The sequence below is a fragment of the Homo sapiens genome, chromosome 1 (genome assembly GCF_000001405.40).
Source record: "Homo sapiens chromosome 1, GRCh38.p14 Primary Assembly".
NCBI lineage: Eukaryota > Metazoa > Chordata > Mammalia > Primates > Hominidae > Homo > Homo sapiens.
Window position 1 is genome coordinate 51,853,675 of NC_000001.11, and position 22,259 is coordinate 51,875,933.

Sequence of the window (22,259 nt, forward strand, 5' to 3'; positions counted from 1 at the left end):
TCTTAGATAATAGGATAGCCTTAGATTACATCTTAGCCAAGCAGGGAGGAGTGTGTATGGTTGCAAATCCCACATGCAATACTTATATAAATGAATCTGCTGAGGTAGAAACTCATCTAAAATAAATTAGAGAACAAGTCACTTGGTTACAACAGATCTCCCTGACTGTCCCTAAGGACTGGTTTTCTTCTTTCTTTTCTTGGATTCCTCATGGAATAAAATCCATGTTTTCTGGATTGCTAAAGTTATGCATATCAATCTTGCTAATTTTTCTTGTGCTTTATATCATAACCAAATGTGTGTTAAAATGTAATAAAGCAGTGACTAATACAAATAATGACAGTTCAGCACCATGGTGCCATGCCTGGGACTCATGGATACCTTGAATTCCGTGCTAGGAACTTACTATCCTCAGCCAGGGGCGGTGGCTCACACCTGTAATCCCAGCACTTTGGGAGGCCGAGGCGGGTGGATCACGAGGTCAGGAGTTTGAGACCAGCCTGGCTAATATGAGGAAACTCTGTCTCTACTAAAAATACAAAAAATAGCCAGGCGTAGAGGTGCACACCTGTAGTCCCAGCTACTCAGGAGGCTGAGGCAGAAGAATCGCTTGAACCCAGGAGGCAGAGGTTACAGTGAGCCGAGATCATGCCACTGCACTCCAGCCTGGGCGACAGAGCAAGATGCCATCTCAAAAAAATAAAGAAAAGAAACTTAATATCCTCATATCCTAGTCCTCAATCTTTGCCCCAATTCAACAGGAAGTAGGCAGAGCAGTCTGCACCCCAGTACCCCACAAGATTGATGGGTGACAAAAGATGGGGAATTGAGATGACGCAGGGACCCCAAGCATAGAAAAAAGGAAAATCTTCAGTTATTTCAAAGGAAACTTCAGGCACCTAGCTAGCCCTGAAAAATAAATGTGCAACTTGATAAACAAGCAGGTAACAGTAACAACAGCCAAGCTGGCCCAGCATGGTGGCTGACACCTGTAATCCCAACTCTTTGGGAGGCCAAGGTGGGAGGATCACTTGAGGCCAGGAGTTCAAGACCAGTCTGGGCAACATAGCGAGACCCCATCTCTAACAACAACAAAAATAGCCAAGGAAGTTAAGAGTCACAAGAATGTTTGCTTCCCTATAAAAACTAAAGATAATACCTTAACATGTCTCCAGTTGTTTTTCAGAAACCTGTGCCCACACCAAAAGGATCTGCCAGCACAGCAACCTCATATAGAGAGGAACTGGGGACTGAACTCTGACTCCCCTTCTTTGTTCTAAATTTCTTTCTGAGGGGCCTGGAGAAGGTTATACCCATGAGCCAGTGCTAACATTCTTTTCTGCTGATCTCAAATTTTTAGAAAAAGCTTTGCCTCCTTAACCAACTGCAAATCAGAAAATCTTCTACTGTACCTATGACCTATACACCACTGCTTCAAGATATCCCAACCTTTTAGGCCAAAATCAGTGTGTAACCCTCCATGTATGGTTTATGATTTTGTCTGTAACTTCTGCTATCCAGAAATTTACCACTGCCTTTAAAAACCCTTACCTGCAAATCATCGGGGAGGTCAGGATTTAAGCATTAGCTACCTGGTCCTCTTTGCGTAGCATCCTGAAAATAAATGCCTTCCTTTCTACTGCTGCAAAACCTCAGTGTGGTTATGTCCTTATTGTGCCAGGCGAGCAGACCCAAGTTCAGTTCTATAACAGAGCTAAAAGGAAAGAATGTTTTTATTTAAGAAAAAAAAATTGGTATAATATTTGGGTGAAGAAAATTTGTACCAAACAAGATAAAAAATCCAAGCCCTTATAAAGAAAAAAAAAATGAAAAGAGTTCACTGTATACTAATTTTAAGTTTTTATAAAACAATATCATAAACAAAATCAAACAGCAAATTGCATACTGGGAGGAAAAACTAACAACATGTAAGAGTTCCTTCAAATCATTAAGAGAAAAAAACCCTATTAAAAAATAAGCTTAAAAATATGTGCTATACAGCCTGGCCAACATGGCAAAACCCTGTCTCTACAAAAAATACAAAAAAAAGTAGCTAGGTATGGTGACGCACCCCTGTAATCCCAGCTACTCAGGTGTCTGAGGCTGGAGGATCACTTGAGCCAGGGAGGAAGAGGTTGCAGTGAGCCAAGATTGCGCCATGGCACTCCAGCATGGGTGACAGATGGAGACTCTGTGTCAAAAAAAAATAATAATGATAATAATAATATATACTACACACATTACAAGAACACAAGATGTCAAATAAAATGATGCGCAATCTCACTAGAAATAAAAGACAATCAACTTAATGAAATATTTTTCATCCAACAAATTAACTAAACAAAAAATAAAAACAATTGCTATCCAGTGCTGATAAGTGGACAGATTATTCTCACACATTTCTGATGAATCTCAAATGGTATCACATTCTTGTAGGGAAATACAGCCATTTTTATTTTTAATGGAAACTCTGAATACTTTTCATTCAGTAATTTCATTTCTAGGTATTTCATTTCTAGGAAAAACTCTCAAACGGTTTTTCTTTTTCTCTCATACTACTACAATGGTCAGCAACCAAAGTCTTCTGTGACCAAATCCGTGCAATTAATTCTTCAGTGGACACCAACTGGGTGTCCTCCAAATCAGCTCCAACACTACCTGGAAATAGCATCAGATCCCCCAGGATGAGGGCTCAGTCCCCAAGACTGCCCTGCCAACAAACAAACATACCAGTTTCAAGTCCAGACCTCTGGAACTTCTGACTTACCGGCTTTCAAGTTGGGGTTCCCACGACCTCCTCTTTGGGTTTGATTAATTTGCTGGAGGGCTCACAGAACTTTGGGAAACACTTACATTTACTGGTTTATTGTAAAGGATATTACAGATAAAGAGATGCACAGAGTGAGGTATGGGGGAAGGGGCACAGGGCTTCTATGCCCTTCCTGTGCAGGCCACCCTCCAAGAACCTCCACGTGTTGAGCCATCCTGAAGCTTCTGGAACCTAGTCCTCCTGGGTTTTTATGGAAATTTCAAAATATCAGCATTCCTTCCTCCAAGGATAGGGTGGGACGCCCTCTGAGGAGGGTCTTATAACTCCCAATCAGAAAGGCAGGGAAGATTATAGGGTCTTGTCTTGGGGCAGATGAGAGATGGATAGGAGAAAGTCTGAGAAATTCTGTTTCCTGAGGCCTGCCCATGAGACCTGACACACCCAACATTGTAACAAAAAGACTTTAACAAGGGCTATGGGAGTTACAAGCCAGGAACAATGGATGAAAACCAATATATGTAACATTTGTTAAATTAAGTCTAGACACATGAGACCTGACACACCCAACATTGTAACAAAAAGACTTTAACAAGGGCTATGGGAGTTACAAGACAGGAACAGTGGATGAAAACCAATATATATAACATCTGTTAAATTAAGTCTAACCTAAAGCCACCTCCTTACATATTTTAAGTTTGGCCTAAAGGTTTCTCTGTACACAGTGAACTGAAACTTAACTAGATGTATAAACAGATCGTAACCTACTTTTGTGCTAATTACCGAGTTTCAGTCAATCAAAGGCAGCCAACTGTTCAAACTATGTTCAAATACTCCAAATGCCCGAACTGTAACAAATCTGGCTGTTTCTGTACCTCATCTCTGTTTTCTGTACATCACTTTCCTTTTTGTGTCCATAAATCTTCAATCATGGGACTGCACCAGAGCCTCTCTGAACCTATTCTGGTTCCTGGGCTACCCAATTTGTGAATCATTCTTTGCTCAGTTAAACTCTGTTAAATTTAATATGTCTAAGGTTTTCAACAGATGTCATGCCCAGGAGCATGGAGTGACCAAGCAAGGTACCCCTCAGACTCACGATGTCCATTGCTTTCTGGAAGCAACTGATATCGTGGTAAGTTCTCGCTGAGATTCTGAAGCTCGACAGATTTCTGTTTGGAACCGAGTTTGAGCAAACTTCTGATCCGAACTGGGTTTGGAAGTCACAACAGAAACTGGACTGGATCCATGATTGGATTGGATCTGATAATTAACTGACTTGGATTCAGTTAAGAGGCTGCAGATGTCCAGGATCAGGCAGAAACTAGCAGAAATGGTAATATTACAGTGGGTGCAGACTTCAGAAATTTGCAGAGATTTTTGTGTTCTACATTCTTTTTCTTGTACCCTTAGGTAGGGAAAAATCATTAACTAAATTGATGAAGGGGATCTGAGGACCAAATCCAGGATTCTAGGGAAATATTGGATCCTTAGTATCTGAAGAACACCGTATTCTACCTTCTAGCTATAAGGTAGAATGTATAAATATTAGGCCTCAGAAGAAATAACTACTTACAGAAATGGCAAAATCTTTGTAACTTAAAATTACAATGGACCGTTCCTAATGAACAACACAGCACTTAAAAATGAGGGGTCCTGAATTAGTCTTCAAGGATGCCTATTGATGTGCAGAAGCTTCTAAAAACATTTCAATATTTTTATTGCTTTATTAAAAGACTTCATAAAAGGCAAATAGGGCCAGGTGTGGTGGCTCATGCCTGTAATCCCAACACGTTGGGAGATCAAAGCAGGAAGATCGCTTGAGCACAGCAGTTCAAGACAAGCCTATGCAACATAGTGAGATCTCCTCTCTACAAAAAATTAAAAATCAGCTGGATGTGGTGGTGTACACCTGTAGTTCCAGCTACTCAGGAGGCTGAGGTGGGAAATTCACTTGAGCCCAGGAGGTAAAGGCTGCAAATCAGCTGTGACTGTGCCTTTGTGATTACACAGAGGGAAACCCTGTCTTTAAAAAAAAAAAAAAAAAAGGCAAATAAAAAGCTCAGGTGAATAATTCACAAGAATAATTAAATCTGCTAAACTTTTGGCATAAACACTATCCTGCCTCAAGAGTGAAAATAACGATATCCTGGATAAAATGTTGATAAAATGTAAACCAGTGGGTAAAGCAGACTTGCTTCTTTTTTAGATCTATCCAGTCTGAGTCCAAGCACAGAGTACTGTTTTCTTTGCCCTATTCCTCAATGGGCTCCATCTACCCTGAACTCAGTAATTTTAGCCAAGAAACAGTAGCTAAGTCAAATAAACCACCTACCCAACTAAAATATACCTTCCTGGCATTTAACTGGCTATCCTGAAACTCTTCTGTAAAAGAAATTTACATCTATAAAGGAAATCTCCATTTGTAAGGGTGTCTGCCTGTGTATATTAGAAACTTTTACCATAGTTTTAAATTTATGTAACAAGTCAAACCTTTGTTTAAGGTGCTTTTCTGGACATCTTAACTGAAATTTTTTACTCACATCATTTTTTCCTTGGTTTGAGCAAATGAGGGTACAATATGTACGCCTAAAGTCTTAGGTTGTGCTTTTGAGATATAAATTTTCTACCTTATTTCACCTAAGAGTTGTCCCATTAGAAATGCAAATTTAAGGTTGCCTAGCTAACAACTCCTTAGGGCAATGAAACAGGTAATGGAAGAATGATAGTCTGAATGGGGAAAAGAAAAACTATTCAAAAGCCAGCAAATGACAATCCTTTATGTAAGCTATAATATCTGCTTCTGTCTTTGTGTCTGTGTCTATATGTGTTACTTGTATGTAATATTTAGTAAATAAAGGTAGTTGTAAATTGTTACTAAAATAGAAATGGCTTCAAAATTATCAGTTAAATATAATTTGATACTTGCTTGCTTGTTTTTGGTTTTGAGCCTCTGGAGTCAGAGGTCTGGATGTATGCCCACAGTGAGGCATGAGGACACATTCTCAATGCCTAGGCCACCAGCTGCAAGGCAGAATCAAGCCCAATATATCCCCTTTTCCCCTGCCCTAGCTTTGCCTCCTGGCTATTTTGGGAGGGTTCCGTCCTCCAGGCAATGTCTTCCCATTTCTGTCTTCTGTCATGAGGTCTACAGCTGTGCGTAAATTCAGGACTCAGACAGGACCTGCCCTTCATACCCATCTTGGGTGCCATGTGGCTACCTGAGACCCAGGATGACTAGGAAAAACATCAGAGGGGAGGGTACCTGTGTCACAGTTTCAAAGTCTTTACGGTAACTTAAAATACTTCTAAGTATTAAAACTTAAAATATTTCTAAGTATTTAGAAATGATGTAGTTAGATGTAGGAGATGCACAGCATTCTCAGTTTACCTGGATCTCATGGAGCATAAAAATTGGCATGAAGTAAACTGTGTAAGATTACCAGAGCCCCAGCTTATCTGCTTTGTCTGTACCGAGACAGAAGGGGAGGGGTTACAGACTATGGTGCCTACTCCCATCACTGCTTCCCTCAGCCATAACAGGACAAGGGGGATCTTGAAAGCATCTTGAAAATTGTAAGGTGATCCAGATTTGGCCGTGTCTTTTACTTTGGCCATAGTGGTGTCCAATTATATTATAAATTAACTGATGGATTTATGCTGCCAGATCCTCAGAATGTTTGCCTTAGAAGATGACATCTATGCTTCCCCGATGCTTATTTTATTCATACAAGATTGGATTTGACACCCATCAGCATGCTTCATCTTTCACCTCAGAGATACTCAGAGTTGACTTGGGTTGACTAGTCAGGGTTGATTTAGATAGGGTTGATTTTCCCATTCCGTAAGTTTTTCTTTCTGAAGAATAAAACTTCCCCAGATAGAATTGTTTTTTCTTCAAAAATATAGGATAGTTGCTCTAGAACTTTCTTATCTGGAGACAGTTTAACTACAGTTGTATACAGACTTATGTCTATCATTCACACTCATAGCTGCCTCTGTGTTCATTGCTGCTGCAGCTAGCTCATTATAGAGACTGCCACCTCTTTCTCTTACTCGACTCTCCCAGTGCCTTCTGGCCACTACAGCTAGCTTAAAATGGCATTTCATACACCTTGGTCACCGGGAGAGTTTACTTCTATCTACTTTTTCATCCCCAGTAGAAAGTAAAAGCTTTCTTCCAATTGGTCTTCCTGTTGCAATTACTATTACTTTTCTGGGGGTGACTTTAAATCAAAACCGAAAATATGTTTATTCACAGTATAAACTTACGTGTCTAGAATAATAAGGAACAGAGAAGTGCTACCTACAAGAACCTTCCTTTCTCTTCTTACCACCACCTTTATAATATAGTAGCTAGAATATTACAAGAGAGATAGTGTGGGACACTATCAGCCTTAAAAACATCTTTATTAATTAGACCTATTTTACTTTTGTTAATATTTCCCAATTAAGTTGTCCAGAGTATGAAAAATTATATGCACAAAGATGTTCCAAGTGGTATTACTTCTTTTTTTTTTTTTTTTGAGACAGAGTCTCGATCTGTCACCCAAGCTGGAATACAGTGGCATGAGCTTGGCTCACTGCAACCTCCGCCTCCCATGGTGAAGTGATTCTCCTGCCTCAGCCTCCCGAGTAGCTGGGATTATAGGCGGGCATCACCATGCCCAGTTAATTTTTGTATTTTTAGCAGAGATGGGGTTTCACCACGTTGGCCAGGCTGGTCTCAAACTCCTGACCTCAGGTGATCCACCCACCTTGGCCTTCCAAAGTATGAGGATTACAGGCGTGAGCCACTGCACCCGGCTGCCCAAGTGGTATTACTTTTTTTTTTTTTTTTTTTGAGACAGGGTCTCACTCTGCCACAGAGATAATCAAATCTCTTCTTCTTCTTTTTTTTTTTTTTGAGACAAAGTCTTGCTCTGTTGCCCAGGCTGGAGTGCAGTGGCACAATCTTGGCTCACTGCAACCTCTGCCTCCCAGGTTCAAGCAATTCTTGTGCCTCAGCTTCCCAAGTAGCTGGGACTACAGGTGCATGCCATGAGGCCTGGCTTTTTATTATTATTATTATTTTTTTTTATTTTAGTAGAGACGTGGTTTCACCATGTTGCCCAGGCTGGTCCTGAACTCCTGAGCCCAGGCAATCCGCCCCCCTTGGCTTCCCAAAGTGCTAGGATTACAAGTGGTGAGCCACTGTGCCTGGCTACATGAGAAAGATTCTGTACCACCAGAAAACATACACTGAAAATGACAAGTGAAGAAAATACCTCTATAAATGTTTAAATGGCCCACCAGGGCAGAAATATACCTGAAGTTTTTATTATCTTCTCAGGATTGATTATGGGTTTGACAAACCAAACATTGGTCATAAACCATTTTCGCATTTAGAACATTCGCCACACACACGCACACATTTATATGCAATTGGGATTACTTAGTCTCATCTATGATGAGTCACTGACTGCAGAGCTTTTAGTAATGGAAACTTCGACGACTCAGGAAGGGCCAGGTGGGTCAAAGCTCTCCATGAGTCCATGGATAACATTGGACTTAATATCCTCCTAAATGCCAATTTTGTCTCTCCAATTTAGATGCATAGAACTGTTTATTAGAATGAGTTATCATAGGTAATTTGACTTTGGACCATGGAGTTCATTCAAATTGCGTATCTAAACAATGTTAGTATTAGCTGATTTAGCATGAAAATCTGGCATGGTTATTTTCTTGGTATTCAATTAAATTTTGTCCTGCTTGGGTTAGCAGTTTTAGAATTAGTAAAAAATACATATATACGTATATAGGGCTTTCCCCCCCGCCAATAAAAGACATCCATCTAGAAGCAGTGGCTCATGCCTGTAATTCCAACACTTTGGGCGGCACAGGCAGGAGGATCACTTGAGCCTAGAAGTTCGATGCTGCAGTGAGCTATGATGGCACCACTGCAGTACAGCCTGGGTGACACAGTGAGATCATCTCTCTAAAAAAGAAAAAAAAAAAGAGGCTGAGTGTGGTGGCTCATGCTTGTAATCCCAGAATTTTGGGAGGCTGAGGTGGGAGGATTGCTTGAGCCCAGGAGTTCAAGATCAGCTTGGGCAACAAAAGGAGACCTCATCTCTGCAAATAATTTTTAAAATTAGCCCGAGGTGGTAACACACACTTGTGGTGCCAGCTACTCAGGAGGCTGAGGTGGGAGGATCACCTGAGCCAGGAGGTTAAGGCTGCAGTGAGCCATGATCATGACACTGCACTCCAGCCTAGGGAACAGACTGAGGAGGCCCTGTCTTAAAAAAAAGGCCAGGAGCAGTGGCTCATGCCTGTAATCCCAGCACTTCGGGAGGCCAAGGCAAGCAGATCACATGAGGCCAGGAGTTTGAGACCAGCTGGACAACAAAACCCTGTCTCTACTAAATATACAAAAATTAGCCAGGTGTGGTGGCACGTGCCTATAATCCCAGCTACTCGGGAGGCTGAGGCAGGAGAATCGCTTGAACCTGGGAGGCAGAGTTTGCAGCGAGCTGAAATCAGGCCACTGCACACTAGCCTGGATGACAGAGTGAGACTCTGTGTGGAGGAAAAAAAAAAAAAAAAAAAAAAAAACAAGCAATAACCAGAAAAAGTAGAAAATTTAAAACAAAGTATCACATCACTGTAGAATTTCTTCAGAGAAGTTCAAAATGAGGCCAGGCATGGTGGCTCACACCTGTAATCCCAGCACTTTGGGAGGCCAAGGCAGGCGGATCACTTGAGATCAGGTGTTCAAGACCAGCCTAGACAACACAGCAAAACCTTGTCTCTGCTAAAAATACAAAAATTAGCTGGGCATGGTGGCGTACGTCTGTAGTCCCAACTACTTGGGAGACTGAAGCAGAAGGATCACTTGAACCCGGGAGGCAGAGGCTGCAGTGGGCCAAGATTGCACTGCTGTACTCCAGCCTGGGTGACAGAGCACGACTCTGTCTCAAGAAAAAAAAAAATTAGCTTTTGGTGCAGATTTAATAATGTTTCTTTAATGAACTCAACCTAAAATTACAAGACAAAACAGCATTTAAGTCATTTCAATCAAGAATGATGTTTGAATCACAAGTAATGGCAAGCTACGTCATATACTTCCTGTGCTATAAAAAGTTAAAACAAGAAGTAATACCTCCATTCCCCCACAAACTATAGTTTCAGAAGTGCCTTCCAGACCTTGTTGCAACCACAAAGAAACTTCCATATTTCAAAGTCCATTAACTGTGCAATTGAGGAGATCCCACCTAATTTAATTGGAAGTGACTGATCTATAGTGTTTGATCTATTTAATCTATAATAATGTTAAAAGGAAAAAATATGAGAAGAATCTAATATAATTATATAAATGTTTTCCAAGCAAAGAATATGCTCAATTAAAGTCATATACAGATGCTCCTCGACTTACAACAGGGTTAGGTCCTGAAAAACCCATCTTAAGTTGAAAATATTGTAAATTGAAAATGCATTTAACCTAACCTACTGAACATCAATAGCTTAACCTAGCCTACCTCAAACATGCTCAGAATGCTTACATAGCCTACAGTTGGGGAAAATCATCCAACACAAAGTCTATTTTATAATGAAGTGTTGAATATCTCATGTAATTTACTGATACAACACTGAAGTGAAAAACAGAAAGATCATATGGGTACTCAAAGATCGGTTTCTACTGAATGCATATCACTTTTTTGCACCATGGAAAGTGGAAAAACCCTAAGTTGAACCAACATAAATTAGGGACCATCTGTACTCATAGACTGCTATTAGTATTTCAATATTAATATATTGGCGGTACCTAGCTATGTGGAAAGACATTTTCAAAGATAAGGTATGTAAAATCTCATTACAAATCAGATTTAACAGATGAACTGACTGATGAACACTTAATTTTGATCCCAATAAAGCAAAATGTTATCCCAATAAAAACAATTCCATCATTCTTACTAGTAGAACTGTATTACCAAAAAACATACTATATTTTGAACTTCATAAAAATTTTCACCAAAAATTTGCAGAAATTTGTTTTCTTTTTTGATATACAAGTACTTACTTAATATCCTCAATTTCACCTCCTGACTGACAAAGCCCAAAGTATTTATTAGCTAGAACTTTTACAGAAAATATTTGGTGATCTCTGGGATTTATACTTTTTTAAAAGTATGACTGGACAACTGGTTATCCATATTTTTTTTTAAATAGTAATAAAATTAGATTTTTGCCAGGCATGGTGGCTCACACCTATAATCCCAGAACTTTGGGAGGACAAGGAGGGCAGATCACTTGAGGCCAGGACTTCGAGACCAGCCTGGCCAACATGGTAAAACCCTGTCTCTGCTAAAAATACAAAAATTAGCCAGGCGTGGTGGTGCATGCCTGTAGTTCCAGCTACTCAGGAGGCTGAGGTGGGAGTCGCTTGAACCCGGGAGGCAGAGGTTGCAGTGAGCTGAGATCATGCCACTGCACCCCACCCTGGGTGATGGAGTGAGACCTGGTCTTAAAAAAAAAAAAAAAAATTAGATTTCTTAATGTAAAAAACTATAATAAAATTTTTAGAATAAGATACAAAAAGTGCAAACCATAAAAGATCAATAACTGATTCAATGTTTGACTTTATAAACAAGGAGCAAACATAAGCTATGGACTTAGAGAATACATTTGCAACTCATATAATCGACAAAAAATTAGCATTCAAAATAAAATGAATTTTTACAAGTCAAATTTATAAAAAGAAAAAACAACCCAATAGAAAAGCAGGCAATTTATAAAAGGAGAAATCCTGATGTCTACAAACTATGAAATAATGTCTGATCTTATTAGTAATAAGGGGAAATACAAATTTTTTAAGTTTTTCGTTTTGTTTTTTTTTTTTGAGACGGAGTCTCGCTCTGTCACCCAGGTTAGAGTGCAATGGCGTGATCATGGCTCATGCAACCTCCGCCTCCCCGGGTTCAAGCGATACTCCCACCTCAGCCTCCCGAGTAGCCAGGATTACAGGCACCCATGATCATGCCTGGCTAATTTACTATTTTTGTAGAGATGGGGTTTCACCATGTTGGCCAGGCTGGTCTTGCACTCCTGACCTCAGGTGATTCGCCCACCTTGGCTTCCCAAAGTGCTGGAATTACAGGCATGTGCCACTGCGCCCAGCCTAAAAAGATTTTTTAAGAAAGAAAAATATAGGCTGATCTGAATTCAGTGGTATTCACAACTAAATGATGCCTTCTCCACTCCCACTGCTTCACTTGACTAACCTTTAAAAAAAAGTGAGAAATACAATTTTCCACAGATAGTAATTTTTTTTAAAACCTAACAATATCGACCAAGCATGATAGCTCACGCCTGTATTCCCAGCACTTTGGGAGGCCAAGAGGGCGGATCAGGAGGTCAGGAGAACGAGACCATCCTGGCCAACATGGTGAGACCCCATCTCTACTAAATATACAAAAAAAAAAAAAATTAGCTGGGCATGGTGGCAGGCACCTGTAGTTTCAGCTACTCAGGAGGCTGAGGCAGAAGAATTACTAGAACCCAGGAGGCAGAGGTTGCAGTGAGCCAAGATTTTGCCACTGCACAGCCTGGGCGACAGAGCAAGACTCCATCTCAAAAAAAAAAAGAAAAATTTCTTAAAATTAGCTGGGCGTGGTGGCAGTCCCAGCCACTCCAGAGGCTGAGGCAGGAGGGCCCCTTGAGCCCAGGACTTCTAGGTTACAGTAAGCTATGATTTCACCACTGCACTCCAGCCTGGATAACAGAGTGAGACCTTATCTTTAAAAAAAAGAAAAGAAAAAAACTAACAGTATCAATAACTGCTAAAAATGTAAGAACGTAAAGAAGCAGGAACTCTCATGTTCTATTGGTGTCAATGTAAAAAAGCACAACCCATTAGAAGAGTACTAATGGCAATATCTAGTGAGGTTAAAAATGAGTATGCCCAGTCATTTCACTTATAGGTATCATTTCACTCATAGGTATGTGCCCTAGATAAATTCTCAAACGTGTGCACAAGGAACCATATACAGTCCTCTGAAATGCTAGAAACAACTTAAATGAAAAACAAAAAGAAAAAAGCTAAATTGTGGCATAGTCATAAAACAAAATATAACAGAAAACTGTAACCAAATGACAATAGGAAAATAGATAATAACGATGTATTCATCAACAAAATATTAAACATTGGTTAACACAAATAACTAGAATTACACTTATTGACATGGATAAATCTCAAAAGCAATGTTAAACCAAAAAAAAAAAAAGATTATGAGACATCTAATGTGATACCTTTCTATTTCTATAATGCTTTAAAACATGCAAAAACAATGATATATACTGTTTAAAAAGTATGTTTAATAAAAAGTATACAACTATAGATAGAACTAGTACGGTATATACATGAAATTTAGATAGTGGTTAACACTGAAAAAAGAAGGCAGAGAAGGTAATGGGAAGAGGCAATATAAAGAGGGCTTCAGCTGTTATCTGTAAGGTTTTGTTTCTATATATATGTATGTTTTATATATACATATATGCCATATATATTCAAAGACAGAGTCTCAGTCTGTCGCTCAGGCTGCAGCACAATGATGCGATCATAGCTTACTGTAACCTCAAACTCCTGGGCTCCTGCAATACTCCTGCCTCAGCCTACCAAAGCACTGGGATTACAGGCATCATGAGCCACTGTGCCCAGCCTAAACATTATGTTTTGATCCAGACAAAAAGCAAGAAATAAAGTAACCAAAAAAAAAGACTGAAAAGTATATCCTTATGTAACAAGCCAAAGGAGAAAAGGAAGAAGACAGAAATGGAAGCAAGACTTTAAAACAGGCACTATTCTAGGCACTGGCGATATAAGCAGTAAACAAAACTAATTCCTTGCCCTTGTGATGAAACATTCCAGTGCAAGAGAAAGACAATGCACAAGTAAATTTATGTCAAATGACAATAAGTGCTATAAAAAAAAAGAGTAAGAAAAAACATGGAGGTAGGAAAACAAAATTTATTTTATACAGGCTGATATTTAAAGTCATGAGACCGGACAACATACAGAGTAAGGGTAGATGAGAAGTCTGAAAATTGAGCCCTAGATAATCCAAAATTTAGAAGTCAGGGAAATAAGAAGAGATCTGTGAATAAGCAGGAAGAGAACTATGAACAGTGGTGACCTGAAAGTCAACTGATCAAAGCATTTCAAGAAGAATGGTGAACTATGCAGTATGATGCTGATAGGTTGAGTAAGATAACTTGAGAATTGACTAATGTAAAGATATTGGTGACCTTGAACTAGCTATTTCAGTGTAACAATAGTGGCAGAAGTCTACTCTGAGTGAGCTTACAGAATAATGGAAACAGATGAATTACAAACTGCAAGTACAGATAACTCAACAAGTTTTGCTACAGTTACCAGAGAAACTGAATAGCTAGAAGGACATAGCTCCAAGGGGATAAAGAATAAAGAAATTTTCTCTCCTGAAGATGGAAACAATTACAGCATATTTGTATGCTCCCGGGGATGATCCAGTAAAAGACAAACTGATGATGCAGGATGGAAGGAGAACAATTGCTGGAATAATTAGTGGAACATAAAAGGTGTAAGGAGATGGGATCCAGTACACAACTGGAGAGTAGAGATAAGGTCTTAGGAGTACAGACTATTCATTTATTACTAACAGAAGAGAAGGTATGCAAAGACTCAAAGAAACAAATTCTCTCCCTTCAAAAAATTCAACATAATAGCGTGGAAAGACAAGTAATAACTACAAAAATATGAAATCGCTTGGAAAAAAAACATTGCTAGAGGGCCACACAAGAGTCACTAACTACATGTGGGAAGGGACGATTGAAAGAAAACAGAAAAGAGAGGAGATACTCATGCATGAATTCAAAAGGCAAATATGACCAAAGAAAACATGTGCCAAGAAAAGAAGCACAAAATAGCACAACAGAAGATGAAGATGAAGATAGAACGTTAAGAACAAAATAGAAGGCCTTGGACATTACCTGCCATTATGAGAAGTTTGTTAGAAGGAATAAAATGAGAGAATACAATCCATTTATACTCTAATTACTGCTTAGTACCTCCTCAGTAATGTATTTTCATAGAATAGCACTTAAATCTATCATGTAGTAACAGTACTGTCTGGCTGGGCACAGTGGTTCATGCCCGTAATTCCAGCACTTTGGGAGATGAAGGCAGGAGGATCACTTGACTCTAGGATCCAGGAATTCGAGACCAGGCTGGGTAGCATGAGGAAACCCCATCTCTACAAAAATTAGCCAGGTGTGGTGGTGCGTGCCTGTCGTCCCAGCTACTCAAGGAGGCTGAAGTGGGAGGATCACTTGAGCCTGGGAGGTGGAGGTTGCAGTGACCTGAGATCACACCACTGCACTGCATCCTGAGAGGGAGTGAGCCACCACCTCAAAAAATAAAATAAGGCATTGAAATTATTTAAAATGTTACCAGTGGTTAATGCAGGGTAGAATAATTATGGAGAATTCTCTCTTTTTGAGATAGGGTCTCACTCTGTTGCCCACACTGGAGTGTACCGGTGTGATCATGGCTCACTACAACCTCAAACTCTTGTGCTCAAGCCATCCTCCTACCTCAGCCTTCCAAGTAGCTGGGACCACACCAGCTTGGTGGTGCACACCACCAAGCCCAGCTAATTTTTTAATTTTTTGTAGAGGTAGGGTCTTGTTTTGTTACCCAGGCTGGCCTCAAACTCATGATCTCCAGCGATCCTCCTGCCTTGACTTAAGATGCTGGGATTACAGGCATGAACCAGCGCGCCCAGCCAGGAATTCTTAAATTTTCTTTTTATCTAAAGTTCCTTCCCTGTGATGACCACATAATACTTCTTTATTGTTATTTAACACTTATCTTCTTGTAATTACTAAAAAATAAATAAAACAAAAGTCAAATCTCTCCTTCCTTTCCCCAGAGAAATGAGCTTGCTGAATACCATCCCTAATCGTTTCTGTACATATATATGAATACGTGAAAAACTATAATTTAAGTAAACATATAACAGTAATGTTTTTTCCTTTTAAAAATGGAATTATACATTTTGTTTTGCCACTAGTTTTCATTCAACAATAAATCAGAGAAGATCTCTCTATTTCAACATATAAAATCACCTATCCTTTTTTATAGCTATGTATTATTTTCATTGTAAAACTGTAACATAATTTAATCTTTATTCAACCAATGGAAAATAAAGTTGTACCAACTTTTTACTACTACAAAAAATGCTACAAAGCCAGCTTTATTCATGGCCTTATCCAATATATAAACAGTAATAGCTAACATTTGAGTGCTTACTATGCCAAGCACAAGCTTCCACACAAAATATACAATATCAGCATACGCATTTGTAGTATTTGTATCATTTGCACTTCTGTAACCTGTCCATATTCATTTTCTCTGAAAATCAATTGCTTTAAAACTGGCCAAAATACACTTAAAAAAATTTTTTTAAGAGATGGAGGGATCTCATTTTGTTGCCCAGGCTGGTCTTGAACTACTGGGCTCAAGCCATCCTCCCATCTCAGCCTCCCAAGTAGCTGGGATTACAAGTATGTGCCACTGTGCCCAGCTTCAGAATACAATTTTAATCTAAGAAATTTCTGGCAAAATATCCCCATGAGTTCTGTGAAAATGCCTGGCATGTAAGCACTCATACATTCATACATTCTACAAATATTATTTGAGAACCTAAAATGTACTGGACCTTGAGTGAATAAAACAGACATGATCTCCGTACTCACGGGCATTTAGCCTAGCAAACATTTAAAGTGAATTAAGTGGAAAGCAAAAAGAAAAGTGAAGAGGGGAACACATCAGCTACAGAAAGACTAGTACCATTTGTGTCAACACAACTGACACAATTATAACTGACTCTTAAGCCAGTCTTCCACATCCTATAGATTTAAACTACTGCTTTATTCTTAAAATACTGCTTTACTTTTATCATTTTCATGCTCAAGAACCCACAAATTTTCTTAGTATTTACCACGTATACACTTCACCCATTTTCTACATTAGCTATTTCAAACCTTCACACTCAAGGCTTCCCCTATGCATCCCACTATTTCCCTTAGAGTTCCCCAGAGGACCACCTAAGTACATTTCAATGACTACTTTACAAATAAGAGGGGAAAGTCACCCTTTCAAGTTTTCACTGCCTGCATCCATACTCGTTACTTCCTTCACTTTAAGTGAAGATATTTTCTCGTCTCTCTAAAATGAGCCTCTCTGGGTATGTTCTTAAGATTAATCCTGTCACCTCACAACTATCTAAGAATCTATTATTATTATGAATACAGACAGTATTAATAATTAGTAATTAATAATTACTAATACTGACAGTATTATTACTAATACAGACAGTAATCTATTACTGTCTGTATCTTCAACTTCTCTACTGATTCTTTTTTTCTCAAGCAAGACATGCTCACCTCTTATTCATCTTGAAAAAAACTCTCTCTTGCTACAATGCACTGTTTTTATCCTAAAATCTCCTCTCATCCCTTCCCCTTTAAAACCAAACAATGTGTACCTCATCATTCAAAATTTCTCACTCTTGGCCGGGCGTGGTGCCTCAGGCCTGCAATCCCAGCACTTTGGGAGGCTGAGACAGGTGGATCACCTGAGGTCAGGAGTTCAAAACCAGCCTGGCCAAGATGATGAAATCCCCTCTCTACTAAAAATACAAAAATAAGCTGGGCATGGCGGCACATGCCTGTAACCCCAGCTGCTTTGGAGGCTGAGGCACGAGAATTGCTTGAACTCGGGAAGTGGAAGTTGCAGTGAGCCAAGATCACACCACTGCACTCCAGCCTGGGTGACAGAGCAAGACTCCATCTCAGTCAATCAATTTCTCACTCTCCATTCATCCTTAACTCACTACAACCTGGTTTCTGCCTCCATACCATTCCTTTGAAACTGCTTTCACCAGTAATAATTTCTCGAGTCTCCAAAAGGGATTCAGTCCTAGTACTGCTTGACCTCTCAGTTTTATCTATCATCACTCCTTGCTTCAAGAATTCTCCTCCACTGGTTCATTAAAAAAAAAAAAAAAAAAAAAAAAAAAAAAGCCACTATCACCTGCTTCCCAACTGCTCCTTTTCAATTTCAATTGTTTATAGGTTGCTCTTCTTCTGTGTCCTTATGAAGATCCTTAGCCTTAGAGACATTAGTTAACTTGCTAAAGGTCACATAACCAGTAGACAGCAAGCTAGAAACACAAATGACAAAACAAAAAGTCATACTTTACATATCCCTATTCTAGCACCTATTATATTTAATGCATTTCAGTTTCAGTATCTGCTCCCTGACTCTCCTACAGCAGATCATAAGCTTCTTAAAAGCAAAAGAGCTTTTACCATCATTCAGTTCTTTAAAAACAGGGCGTTTTTGTTTGTTTTTTGGTTTTCTTTTTGAGACAGTCTGGTTCTGTTGCCCAGCCTAGAGTGCAGTGGGCGCGATCTTGACTCACTGCAACCTCTGCCTCCCGGGTTCAAGCGATTCTCCTGCCTCAGCCTCCCCAGTATCTGGGATTACAGGCATCCGCCACCACACCCAGCTAATTTTTGTATTTTAGTAGAGACAGGGTTTCACCATGTTGGCCAGGTAGGTCTCCAACTCCTGACCTCACGTGATCCACCAGCCTCAGCCTCCCAAAGTGCTGGGATTACAGGCGTGAGCCACGGCGCCCAGTCAGAAAAACAGAGAGTTTTTTGTTCTGGTTTTGTTTTTTTGAGACAGAGGCAGGTGATCTTCCTGCCTTGGCCGCCCAAAGTGCTAGGATTACAGGTGTGAGCTACTGCACCTGGCCAACAGAGAGCTTTTTAATGCTAAATCTTATTTTCCTAAAACACACAGACATACACACACACACACAACTTCAGTTAGAAACAATATACACTCTTTCTATTCTTACTAGCCCATCAGCCCACTTTAAAGAAATCAGTCAGGCCCGGTGCAGTGGCTCATGCCAGTACTCCCAGCACTTTGGGAGGCCAAGGTGGGCTGATTGAGCTCAGGAGTTTGAGACTAGCCTGGGCAACAGAGCGAAACCCAACTCTACAAAAAAGGACAAAAATTAGCTGGGCATGATGGTGTGCACATGTAGTCCCAGCTACTTAGGAGGCCAAGGTGGGGAGGATGGCTTGAACCTGGGAGGTGGAGGCTGCAGTGAGTTGAGATCACACCACTGCACTCCAGCCTGGGTGACAGACCCAGACTGTCTCAAACACAAAACAAAACAAAATAAGGAAATCAGTCTAAGGAATAGTAAGAGACAAAAGATATGTTTATTAAAGTTATACTAGTATTCATAAGATTTAACATATTTCAATCTTAAAAGCACTTACTTTGTTAAATGAGTTTGAATCTCGTGAAGTAATACCTAGGTTACCTTTACTTTACAAGACAAGTGAGAGTGCAAAACAAAAAGAAATTTGGATTCACTTGTTCATTTGTTATCAGACTAAGGAATTGTCAATCTCATGGAATTTACACACATGGAAGTCATAATGATTTCTTTTGTAGCTGTGAGATTTTGTGATCATTTTAGCAATATTTGTGTGTCTGTGTGTGTGTGAAATGAAACACACACAAATGAAATTACTGGCTCATGTATTGAATGAAGCATTACGGTTCCAGGAGTTTTCATTGTAAATATCAACAAATAAACCTATGTTCTTCCCATCCAATACAAAAAAAAAAGTTCTCTTGTTTTCTGGTGTATAGTTTTCTTCTGATACCTCAGATTTGTATAAGGCTTCTGCTCAGTATACGTGCTGCCAAAGTGAGCAAAAGGCTTCTGCTCAGAAGTGAGCCACTTCACTAGCAAACTATTCAGGAAGCCAACAAATGTTAGTGTTCTCAATGCAACTGTTCCACTCACTGGAATTGTGATCCTCCTCCTGTTCCACAGCATATAATAGTAAACAACATAATATTCAGAAATAGCCTGTACCTTATTCAGCACACACCCACCCATTATTTTCTATAATATATGGAATTTTTATTTATTTATTTATTTATTTATTTATTTATTTATTTATTTATGTTTGAGACAGAGTCTTGCTCTGTTGCCCAGGCTGGAATGCAGTAGCACAATTTCAGCTCACTGCAACCTCTGCCTCCCAAGTTCAAGCGATTCCCCTGCCTCTGCCTCCCAAGTAGTTGGGATTACAAGCACCTGCCACTACAACTGGCTAATTTTTTTATTTTTAGTAGCGACAGGGTTTCACCATGTTGGCCAGGCTGGTCTTGAACTCCTGACCTCAGATGATCCACCCACCTCCGCCTCCCAAAGTGCTGGGATTACAGGCGTGAGCCCCCACGCCCAGCCTGAAAATTTATTAAGATAACCATCTCCTCACTTGTAACAGTCTGACCAAAATTTAAATTAGAAGGACTTGCCCTTCAGAAGTTTATATGCCTTTTCGACAGGGCGTGGTAGCTCACACCTGTAATCCCAGCACTTTGAGAGGCAGAGGCAGGCAGATCTCTTGAGGTCAGGAGTTCGAGACCAGCCTGGGCAACTTGGTGAGACACCTGCCCCCACCACCACCTCCATTTCTACAAAAAATTAGCCGGACATGGTGGGGCAGGTTGTGATGGTGCCTCTGTACTCCAGCCTGGGCGATGAATTGAAATCCTGTCTCAAAATTTTTTTTAATCATTAAAAAAAAAAAAAAAGAAGTTTACATACCTTTTCATTTGTTCTTTCCTTCTCCATAGAAATACAGGTCTTTTTACGAGCAGGTTAAACATGGAAAGTGCTCTGTACTTGTTTTAGTCAATCCAAAATACCTAACGTTAAGTGTTCTTCATTGTTAAAATTTACTATTCAGAATGCACCACAGCCAGGCCAGGTGCAGTGGCTCACCTGTGCCTGTAATCCCAGCACTATGGGAGGCCAAGGAGGGCAGATCATCTGAGGTCAGGAGTTTGAGACCAGCCTAGGCAAAATGGCGAAATCTCATCTCTACAAAAGCTTAGCTGGGCATGATGGCACGTGCCTGTAGTCCCAGCTACTGGAGAGCCTGAGGTGGAAGGATCACCTAAGCCTGGGAGGTCGAGGCTGCAGTGAGCCGTGATGGCGCCACTGCACTCCAGCCTGGGTTACAAAGTGAGACCCTGCCTCAAAAATAAAAATAAAAATAAAAAATAAATAGAATACACCACTACTAATCCTGCCCAACCAGAATTTCCACTCAACACCAATAAAAATTTGAATATCAATTCCCAACCTGAAGTCCCTTAACCCTTCCAGAAGGGAAGGGAATCAATACTTGGTAAGCATTTAATACAGATCCCTAAAAAAGCATAATAGGTGTCCTGGAAATATGCCCAACATTTCAAAAAAGCGGAATACAAATTACACATATGCTGAAGTAAAATTCCGCAGGCTATTAATAAATGCAGACTGGTAAATCTTTCAAGGTATTATTTCACCACAATATTCCTCTAAATGGGTCCTCCTCTGGTACTTATTCAAAAGATATATAATATGATGCTATGTACTGTAATGGATCGTGCACAAAATCCTACTGAAATACAATGGAAGGAGGAATTAGTTCTGCCTAGAAAGACTTCACAGAGGGAATATCTCAGCAGAATCTGGAAGGATAATTCAGCTCTGTGGGCTGCAGATGCGTCTAAGTGTGTTTCTGGTTACAAAAATTCATAGAATTGAATTTGGATAAGTCTTTAAAGATCACCTAGTCCTGAGGCTTTCCACCTTTATTTTAAACTAATAACATCTTTTCTTCAAAAGTCTAATTGAAACTCCAGTATATAAAACAGGTAATATGGAAGAACTGCTCTTCTGAAAGGGGAGGGTTATTGAAAAACACTGCTGTTCTAACCAACCCCCTTCGTTTTTAAAATAAGCTGAGACACTAAGAAGGACAATGACTTGGCAAAAGCCATATAAAGACAAAAACGCAACAATTTTCAAAGAACAACTCTTAAGCATTATCTACTCTTTGAAGTCTTTCCTTTCTCCCCCGGTGGAATTTATCAATGTATTTCATTCCTCAATATATCTAGGACATACCTCCGTTATGGCTTCTATAAAACTTTAGTGCCCTAGTTTTATTTATTTGTTTTTTGAGACAGTGTCTCACTGCCACCCAGGCTGGAGTGCAGTGGCACGATCATGGCTCACTGCAGCCTCAACCTCTCAGGCTAAGGAATCTTCCTACCTCAGCTTCCCAAGTAGCTGGGACTACAGGCACACACCACCACACCCGGCTAATTTTTTGTGTGTAGAGACAGGGGCTCACTATGTTGCCCAGGCTGGTCTCGAAATCCTGCGCTCAAGTGATCCTCCCAACACGGCCCCCCAAGTGCTGGGATTACAGGCATGAGCCACCACAACAGTCTCTAATTTTTTTTTTTATGTGTCTGTGTCCCTCTCTACTATTGTAAGCTCCCTAAAGGCAGGTACTGGCTCAATCATTTTTG

General features: G+C 39.9%; 1 protein-coding gene and 1 pseudogene across 3 annotated transcripts in view; one reads left to right on the top strand and one right to left on the bottom strand.

Moving 5' to 3' along the window:
• The window catches only part of NRDC (nardilysin convertase), an 89,518-nt gene that overhangs the window by 64,465 nt on the left and 2,794 nt on the right, over positions 1 to 22,259 (bottom strand). The window lies entirely within an intron of this gene.
• On the top strand, positions 6,101 to 6,549 carry TSEN15P2 (tRNA splicing endonuclease subunit 15 pseudogene 2; annotated as a pseudogene).